Source organism: Homo sapiens, chromosome 4, assembly GCF_000001405.40.
Source record: "Homo sapiens chromosome 4, GRCh38.p14 Primary Assembly".
Taxonomy (NCBI): Eukaryota; Metazoa; Chordata; class Mammalia; order Primates; family Hominidae; genus Homo; species Homo sapiens.
In genome coordinates this window covers 74,622,037-74,631,830 of record NC_000004.12, presented here as the reverse complement: position 1 = coordinate 74,631,830, position 9,794 = coordinate 74,622,037, and the positions used below count along the sequence as shown (strand labels likewise).

Below are 9,794 nucleotides of genomic sequence, written 5' to 3'. Positions count from 1 at the left end.
GCAGATTACTTGACCTCAGGAGTTGAAGACCAGCCTGGGAAACATGGCAAAGCCCTGTCTCTACAAGAAAATACAAAAATTTGCCAGGCGTGACACTACAGTGGCACACACCTGTGGTCCCAGCTACTTGGGAGGTTGAGCTGGAAGGATTGCCTGAGCCTGGGAGGTGGAGATCGCAGTGAGCAGAGATTGTGCCACTGCCTTTTAGCTTGGGCAATAGAGACATTGTCTTAAAAAAAAAAAAAAAAGATGTGTAATGATGAATGTTCTAGCTCTATTTGCACATCCTTAAACAGCTGCTACTCTGATGACTCTAGGATATAGGGCTGACCAGCGGTTTCCTCCTGGCCATATTAGCTGTTCTATTGACAGGTTCAGCTGGGCTGCTTTCCCTGTACTTTGCTTGTTCCTACACCTGTAGGAATGCAGAGTGCCTCTGCAGAAAAGTTCCCCTTCCTTGCCTTTTGTTAGCAGATCCATTTTAGCCAGCTGTTCCTTGATGCCAAGCAGTAGAAATCTGTCCAGTTTGACTCAGATGAACAGTTCCTTTAAGGATGTGCTGGTAGATTCGGAATTTCTTTGTGCCTCTTAAATGGGAAGGGAAAGAATATCTGTTCCTCTTGTCACTCAGTGCAGCCTGGGAAGGGGCACAGAGGTCAATTGACAAGATACCTTTCTAATCAGGAATATTCTAAGCCTCTTATCTAAACCAAAGAAGACCCAGGTAATCCAACAGAAAGTTTTGTGTTGAATCTCTACTTCACTTCCCTTTATCTTCGGTGCTATACAGAGTGCCACGTTTTGTTCCTCAGTCCAGGGTTCTTGGAAAGTAAGGATAAGTTTTCAATTCTAAACTACCGAGTCCACATATCACAACGTAATATAGAATGTACTTACGTATTGTCTTGGGTCAGTTTCCTCCAGATAAACATTTGAGGGTAATTAGTTTATTTGGGAAGTTTATCACCTTTCTATTGACACAATAATGCTGAGTAACAAGCAACCCTTTCTCTACACTGGCTTTACAACAATAAGCATTTATTTAGTTCAGAAGTTTGTGGCATTCAGCTGATTTGTGCAAGCTCAGCTGATCTTGGCTGGACTCCCTCTCTGTCTGGGGGTCAGTTAGCCGTGAGTTGATCTGGGAAGGCCTCAGATGCAATAACTGGGGTGCCTTTGCTTTGTTCCATGTGTTTCTCACCCTCCTCAGGAACAGCGCATGTCTCTCTCATGAAGATGACAGAGGACAAAAGCAAGCAGAAATATACAAGTATGTCTTAAAGTCTCTGATTTTGTCATGTCTGCTATCACCCCAGAAAAGTCACAAAGTCCAAGAAGCAGATGCCAAGACTGCCAAGATTAGACAAAACATATTAGGATTTAGCTACAGAAAATGGCTATGAGAGATTATTGGAAGGGATCCTGGAAAGGCTGGGATAGCCATGAGACCAAGATGCAGGTCTAACTCTGACTGAATGAGAGAGGGAAGGAAAGTTGTTTGGAAGCATACCTGACTGTCCTGCAATCTAACAATGCTTTGGCAAGACTATTGAGGAGTCCTCGAGCCAAATTTGGCTGTCAGAGGAATCCTGTGTCTCCCAAGAATGGACAGTCATAGGCTGTGGTGGTCTGTAGGAAGCATGGTCTCAGTACAGATGCAGTGATGAATTTTAGATAGCAGCTAGGAGCAAAAGCCTTTGGCCAATTATGCTTCATATAGTTGTTGGAGGCCTATGAAGAGCATTCTATGTAAGTTCATCCTAGACTCAAAAGGTGAGTAAATATATTTTGCCACTTTAGTGGGGTCACACAGCAAAGTATATTAATATGGGGATAGGTAAAGAAGTAAGATTATTGATACAATCAGTCTACTATACAAGGTAAAGGCAATGCCAGCAGAAGAATGGGGCGAGGAAAGAAACCCACTAATAAAAAGTTCATCACCAAAGTAGCTACCATTGTGGGAGACCAGAGTTTAAACCATTGGCAAAATTCTACGAGCCAGTATAAAACACCCCTTGCAAAGGGAGCCCACCCAAGGGGCAAAGAAGATGATGGGTATTCGTCGTTACATTTGGATGAAATTTATATAGACATACAAGAATAATAAAAGATAAATGTCTAGGAAGATAAGGGAACATATAATGGAGGGTGTTGACAGCTAGGATAAGTTTCTAGTTTATTAACCAGTAGTGAGAAGCATGTAAACATTTTAAACATAATCAGGGTTTATATAACGTAAAGATTGATTTGACAGTGGAGTGAGAATGAATTGTATTCGGAAGACATAAGAGGATAGGAAACCAGTTATGAGCTCATTACAAAAGCCTTACAGAGCTATAAGAAGTTATGAGAGTTAAAGCTTGAGTATTATCAATGGAAAGAGATAAGGGTGGATTTCACGGACATCAAAGGGAAAGACATCGTGAATACTTGTGGGTGGCAGGAACCAGGAAAGTCAAAGATGTTTGGAAATGTGCCAGCCTGTGTGCATGAAGGAATGAAGGGGCTTAGGACAGAAATTGTAAAATTAGGAGAGCAAAATAATAAAAAATTATTCTTGGTAGAGGAAGACTAGTAATATTGGTTTGGTTTTGCTCTTGTTGGGTTGACATGCTGAGAGAACTTGGCAGTTAGAGATTTTTGCAGGAGCTAGGCACATAAAACTACAGCTCAATTGAGCATCAGACTTAAAAATGTAGAGTTAGAAATCGTTTCAATGAGACCAATAGCTGTGGCCAGGCATGAAACAGGGAAGAAGAGATATGGAAGTGTCTTCACAGTTTTGCAGGCCATAAAGACACGTCCTATATGTGACTCATAAGAGAAGAGATGACTTCCCTTTTGCTCAAAGCCAGCCCAGCACTTTCTCCCATATAAAACTAGCCAAAGCACTGAACTCAAGCAGCTCACCACAGAAGGCTGGGGATGAACAGATGAACTTGAGGGATTTGTTCTCTCTTTTATTGAAGTCTCTATTAATTCCTGACCCTGGTTGTTTTGCAGTTTTTATTCAGTTGTGTCTGTGTTTTTGTCTGCATCTTCTCTTATCTCGGTCATTTTCAGGGATTTGCGTACTCTATTATGAATTTCTCTTTGAGAAATAATACCTGTGAGAATGCTGCTCCTTCAATTAGGTTCAGGATTGGAGGAAAAATCATATAAAATAGGTAAGTAAGACTGAGATAAATTCTTCAAGGTAAGTGTTATTTGCACCTAAACCCAATTTGAGACTATAAACCAAATAAAAATGCCAGTGGAAATTCCCTGATTTCTTCCAGAGAGGTTTAAATAGGACCAGCGCAACAGTGGTCTTCTGAAAGCTGGTTGATGGAAGATGTTATAATTATTTACAGTGTGAGAGGTAGCTCACTTCAAGGTCCCTAACAAAAATTATTTGCAGCTTCCCATCTTTCCTGCATGCTTGGAAATCCTCCTCCTGCCCATATACAGAGGATCTCCTGCCACATGAAATAACTCTTTATTAAACTCAGCCACAGACAGAATAGACCCTACTCAAGTCCACAATTATGTGTTCTCTTCCACTGAATGACATTTCATCTTTGATTCATATTGTGCTATGTGTCAGCTTCCTTCCCAAACAATTATGTGCTTATTAATAATTATAACAGTAACTCCTCAATATTAAGTATATCTTATTGCCAAACCCTGTACTAAGCATTCTACCTATATTACTTCATTTTCATAATTAAAATGACCCTATGAGGTAGATATTGCTATCTCCATTTTATAATGAAGAAACAGATTTAGTTACATTAATAACTTGCCAAAAGCCATGTGAATAACAAGAGGCAATACTGAGATTTGAACCCATAGCTTCCCATGTATTTAAATAAGATAATATGTAAACATGCACATATAATATCTTTGAAGCCACTTGGCATATTTCCTAGGTAATTAAGCCTGGGTATGAGCTATTATACTTGCTTGATATTTTATTTTTAAATGACCTTTCAAACTTGCAGCTCCTGGCTTTTCGGTAAATAACTACAGATGGTGCTGGTTGGTATCCGTCCTCATTTGATCAGTTTTTCTTTTTAATGGTATCTCATGTACCCGTGATAATCATTACCCCAGGTACATGTGAAACAGTAAAGTAACAAAGATAAGAATAGTATTGCATCATAGGCATAGGAACTACTGCCTCTGAGGCTGTGTTATTTCTGTTTATGTAAGGTAGGAAGGATCTGCCTTTTGCCTTACCAAACTTCACTGCATAAGTGGACATTGACTAAAAACTGTTATAACTCTGCACGGACAGGCAATATGAACAAAAGGCCAGAGAGAGATGTAATCTCAAAGTGTGCTGGTCACCAAGAGGGGTCTGAACAGGATACTACTCTCCTGATGAAAGTACCACAGTCTAGGGCCTGGCCTTTGGCTGTATTGCCTTAGGAATCAGGATACATAAACATAATGGAAATGGATCTGGTTCTTAGAATAGATTTAGTTAACCTAAAAAAAATTATAAAATCAGGGTGCAAATTTTATTGTATTTCTTAATAATGCTGAATTGCAATTTTTTAAGCATTTCAACATTATTAAAATGAAGACGCTTCTTACAATGGAGAAATTCATTTAATGTGGTGGTGCTTCTTTTTCTTTAAGGTTCTTTTAAAATACATGGGTTTGGTGCAGTGGCTCACACCTGTAATCTCAGCATTTTCGGAGGCCGAGGTGGGCAGATCACCTGAGGTCAGGAGTTCGAGACCAGCCTGACCAAAATGGTGAAAACCCGTCTCTAGTGAAAATACAAAATATTAGCGGGGTGTGGTGGCATGCACCTGTAATTCCAGCTACTCAAGAGGCTGAGGGAGGAGAATCGCTTTAACCCAGGAGATGGAGGTTGCACTGAGCCAAGATCGCACCATTGCACTCCAGCCTGGGTGACAGAAACAAGACTGTCTTGAGAAAAAAAAAAAATACATGGTTACATACCATAACCAGCATCTCAACATTGAGAAAAGGCAGCAATTAAAATGTGAAATATAATCCCCAAAAGACTAGGATCCTTTGCCTAGTATATTCTCTCCCAGTAGGCAAGGTACCCAGGAAATAAATTTATAATCAGAAGGTTGCCAGGTGAACATGAAATCCAATCAGAGAGAGTTAGTTCTTTGATATAAATGTTTTTTAAAAATTGTACATTTAAAACACCCATCTCTAAATCAGAAGGTAAGCAACACTAGTTCCTTGGAGGGCACTTGATGACCTTCACAGATAGGGTGGACTAGCTCTGAGCATCTATTCTTACCTCCTTCTAGTGGGCATTTCTGCCCTACAGAGTTTGGAAAGGTAAGAATTAGTTCCCATTCTGTATAACTAGGGGTCTGGAGGTGAAGTAGATTCTTCCAGTGTGTTCATTTGTGCAACATTTGGGAGACATAGGAGGCTAAGGCCATTTTTGTTTTCTGATGCTTTTTTCTGTGCTGTTTTCTGCTAGTAACAGAGTTCCAGCATCCAGTCTCCTGCTTTGAAATCTATTTGCAGTAGTGGCAGCTTTTTGACTCCTTCATCACAGCTCTAGTGGCATGTCCTTGAATGAAAGAGTTTTGGTAGCAGTTTCAATTTCCAGTACTGATCCTTGACTGATACAATGATTTCCTCCCTCTGATAGTCATGTTCTTTTTTTGTTGTTGCTATGTTAATGTATCCTGTCAAGTTACAATCAGCTTTTGACAACCTGGGAACCATTTGTTTCTTTAGGATATTTATGTACTTTTCTGCCTTATGACGTCTTGATTCTACATTTGCTCTTGGAGAACAATATTGTTTCCAAGCTTAAGGAAGCATTTAATTTTTGCCTCCTTTACAGTCTATAGAAAAAAGTAAAATGTGTACTGAGAAGATGTTTCAACACATGTTAACAGGTGTAGAAATCACAAGTAAGTGATGGGGAACATCACCACAAATGTGAAAGTACATTACACAATAATGCTATTACAAGTCATTTTATAATTGTTAGAATGTATGCTCCTCCATACTCTACAAGTTAAATTGCATTGGACCAGATCTTCTGCCTGTGAAACAGTCACTTTATTTTCTCTTTGGAGAACAACCTCAACAAGTCATCAGGACTGTGTAGAGAAGCTTAGCCATTTTATGCAAGTCACAGCTAATACAGGGTGAGGCCATGAAGAATGATGCTTGTTTTTTCACATGGCCAAAGAATCTATAATTTGGAAAGCTTAATATTTCACATAGTCTTCTTTCATCTTCCAAACTCAAGGTAATATCAGAAATGATATTTCCTCGCAAAAATCATAAGATGTGACTGCCTCCTCCTTTCCTCAAAGCCGTCAGACTGATCTGAGGTAAAACTGTTTTGGACTTAACCCAGCATTTGGTATATCATCTAATGTTCAACAGGAAGTAATCCACTGACCAACTAACCATCGGCTTCTTCTCAGGAACCAATAATTATTTCTATATTTTAAAAATAGCTAAGATACATTTATGCCTATGACACAACAATCCTGTTCCTTCTTACCACCAATTGCAGCTCCTCGTCTTTATCTGCTCATTATATTCAACTGTGTCTAAATTAGCAAACCTAGGCTACAATCCTTTCGTTCAACAGAACAGGTAACTTTAGCTCACACTGACAAATGCAGGCTTTGCTTGCTTAGAAATACTTTTTTCTAAGGTAGTTTCTAAGAAAAGAAGAGAAGAGGAAATACTGGAAGCTCAAAATTAGGTCTGGCCCACCAGGCATTCACCTATTTTAAAATATTATACTATAATTTTGTTGTGGTTAGGAAAGAACCAAGGGCCTTTGTATAGGAGAGAGAAGTGTGGATTCAATGAGGTCATCTTGACAGGATGTGTCCCCAGTTCCCTTTAGTGACTCATTGTAAATTAATTTTCCATCAGTATATTTAAACTGTACTTTGACTTCATTTTGTTCTCACTTTGTGCAGTATGTTAGGATGTTTATTGCTACATAAACTTTGTGGTTATTGTGGTTCTCAAGTTATCTCTTTAAAATCCCACGAGTCCTGGAACTCACTAAGCAAGACTGTCACCATTCTTTAAGAAGCAGAAGATGATAGTTGAAAAATAAAAACAAGAATGTAGGTTAAAAAAGCAGAGGAGAGAGTAAAATGAGAAAATAAAAGAAAACATTTCTTTTTTCCTTTGTCATTCTATTCTCTGTCTTTGAGTGCTTATCTTCTACTGTCTTCAGTTTATACAATTAGGTTGTCTTCTGTTTTTTCTGCGTTATTGTCTATTTCGTTTTGAAGCCAGGGGTCATTGATGAGTAATGCATCATTGGCACCTTGTGCCGTCAGGTAGAACAGAAAATAGGAGCCGTGTTTCTCCATTCATCTTTGGGCTTTTACACTGCATAGGATGCTGGCCTCAGAAATAACAACCACTGGTGCCTCACCATTATTAAAACAGTATATATTTGTATAAGCTTATTGTTTTCCAGAAGCTTTCATTGTAAGTTCCACCCTTGGTAGTGTCTCTCCACTTGCCTTTGTTCTGTTCTTTACACTGGAGGAATTCACTCTTTTCACATCACAAGTTTTCCAGTATTTGAAAAACTTATCAAGTCTTCCATAGGCCCTTTACCCTCAAGCTAAGACTCTCATTTGGCATGCATTTAAACTCTTCATTACACAGGTCATTTTTTTCTAGTTGGTCAAAATCCTTAAAATGTAGCACAGAGAACTGCAAAGACTCCTCTTGACTCTTACCTCCCTTGATCCAGAAAAGGTACTTAAAAAAATCATAAGTTAATATTCCGTGTCTTTTCACACTTTTAACATATATTGAACCTGAGGCCAACTAAAATTTCCATATCTTTTTTATAAGCCAGGTTGCTACCATATTTTGCATATTTTTGTTTTCACCTTACATGAAGGACTTTATTTTTTTTTAACTTTCAACTTGTTTGTTTTAACCCCCAACTCCTGGTTGTTAAAAACAATTTTGAATCTTGAGTTTGTCAGTTTATTGAGCTACACCCTTAATTTTGATAACAACATTTTCCAATGACCTTGAAGATGAGAACATTGCAGCTATAGAATGTGGTCCTTTGTAGCTGTTCAATACAATTAAATTGAACATTAACAGGTTGGAGCTCTCTGTGAAGCCATGATAGAGAATTATCCATGAAAGAGCATCTTATTACTACAACTACTATTATTATCTCTTCAGCTTCATGTTTCACCACTCCTACCCTCCTTTCCCTTCAGTTTTCTGGGTTCCAGCCACCATGGCTTCCCTCACTTCTTCAAACATGCCAGGCTCCCTCCTGTCCAGTCCCCTACGCAGTCTTCTCCCCTTCATCTCCCTATTTCCTCTGTTTGCCTAGAGAACTTAGACCCTGCCTTCAGCCTCAGCACTCTCTGATCCCCAAGATTAGGACCGTTCCATCTTGCCTCTACTTTTGTGATTATTTTATTAATATTTGCCTCCCCTGATAGTGGAAGTAGTAGTTTATTTTGCTTACTACTGTACCTTTTGTGCCTGACGCAGTGTTTGACACAGAACAATGCACCATTACTATTTTAAATGCTTTGGCTCATAAACTTCTGTCATGTCATGTCACATCATGCCAGTAGGTGACACCAAAATGCATATTATCTGTGACGAAGCCCCTGAACTACAGCTGTGTTTTCATCTCAGCATAGTCTGAAGCCCAAGAGCAGTTCAGAAAGTCTGTTTCTCAGTTTTTTAGGAGTGGAAAAAGTTTGGGAATTCAATATATGCTTATATTTATATTCAAATAAATATTACCTAGCTGTGAGTAATCTTCCAAGTGCATTATTAATAATTTAAAAATTTGATATTCACAAATTAAAATATTACCCTTCTAAAATTTGAGGGTCCTAATTTAATATTCTGCTAAGAAATCCCACTGTCAAGCAATGCTTAGCAAGAACTTTTAACGCACACTTAGATTGTTGGGATTGCCCGAATTTTCAGAGAAGATTCTCTAACCTTGTTATAATTTTAGGATTGTTTTAAGCTAGCTATGGTTTTCAGTTGCTCCTATTTTTGCATTATTTAATTTATGTATAGAATTATTCCTAGGTTACACTTTTCCTGATGGCTTTGTTCCTGCGTAATTGCTGAAATGCTGCTATTATAATTATTCCTCCCTAATTGTTCCCATCACAAAGCTTTCTTCAATGCTAGAATCAGTGAAGTAGACCATATTTTCTTTTGTTTTCCTTTCGGCTCAGTGAATCCTGATCAGAGAAAGTTTGAGAAATGCTGCTTTTGAGCAGTGTTTAGAGAGAAGTGCAAATGTCTGTGTAGGGAGCTGGGGGTTGGGGGTTCTGTAGGAGAGAAGTTTTGGGAACCTAGGTAGAAATTGAAAGTAGGAAAGACCTTGAATTTCTAAAGTTTAATCTTAGTTGTTCAAAATTTGCATTTTATTCTAGAATCAACCAAACACCTGTTATGTTCCCATTTTTTTTTTTTAAGACAGGTTTATTTTCCATTGTGTATCACTGGGTAAAGTAGATGGTTCCTAGCGTGGGCCATTTCATCCTGTAGCTTATTCCCCGGGCTGAGCACTTCCAAGTATCTCTGTTTCCTTCTATATTGCACAAGTATGAAGATGAAACTGTCAGTGGATAAGCATGATTATGTGAAAAACTTTATCTAAAGCACACTGTTAGCCTTTCTTTTATTTTTCAATAAAATGATTGTTATATTTCAAAAGTTCTGAAGTTTAGAATTTTAAAAATATAAGACTACTTATAAGACTCCAATCATAATTTGTCATAGAATTTACCAGAAAAGTTTCTCTATCT

The 9,794-nt window shown here is 38.3% G+C and overlaps 1 annotated feature.

The window, feature by feature from the left end:
- Positions 8,422 to 8,716: a silencer, noted in NCBI's record as "tiled region #14582; K562 Repressive DNase unmatched - State 12:CtcfO". NCBI's record gives its function as "represses a minimal TATA promoter and a strong SV40 promoter by Sharpr-MPRA in K562 cells {active_cell/tissue: K562}" and the evidence as "EXISTENCE:reporter gene assay evidence [ECO:0000049][PMID:27701403]".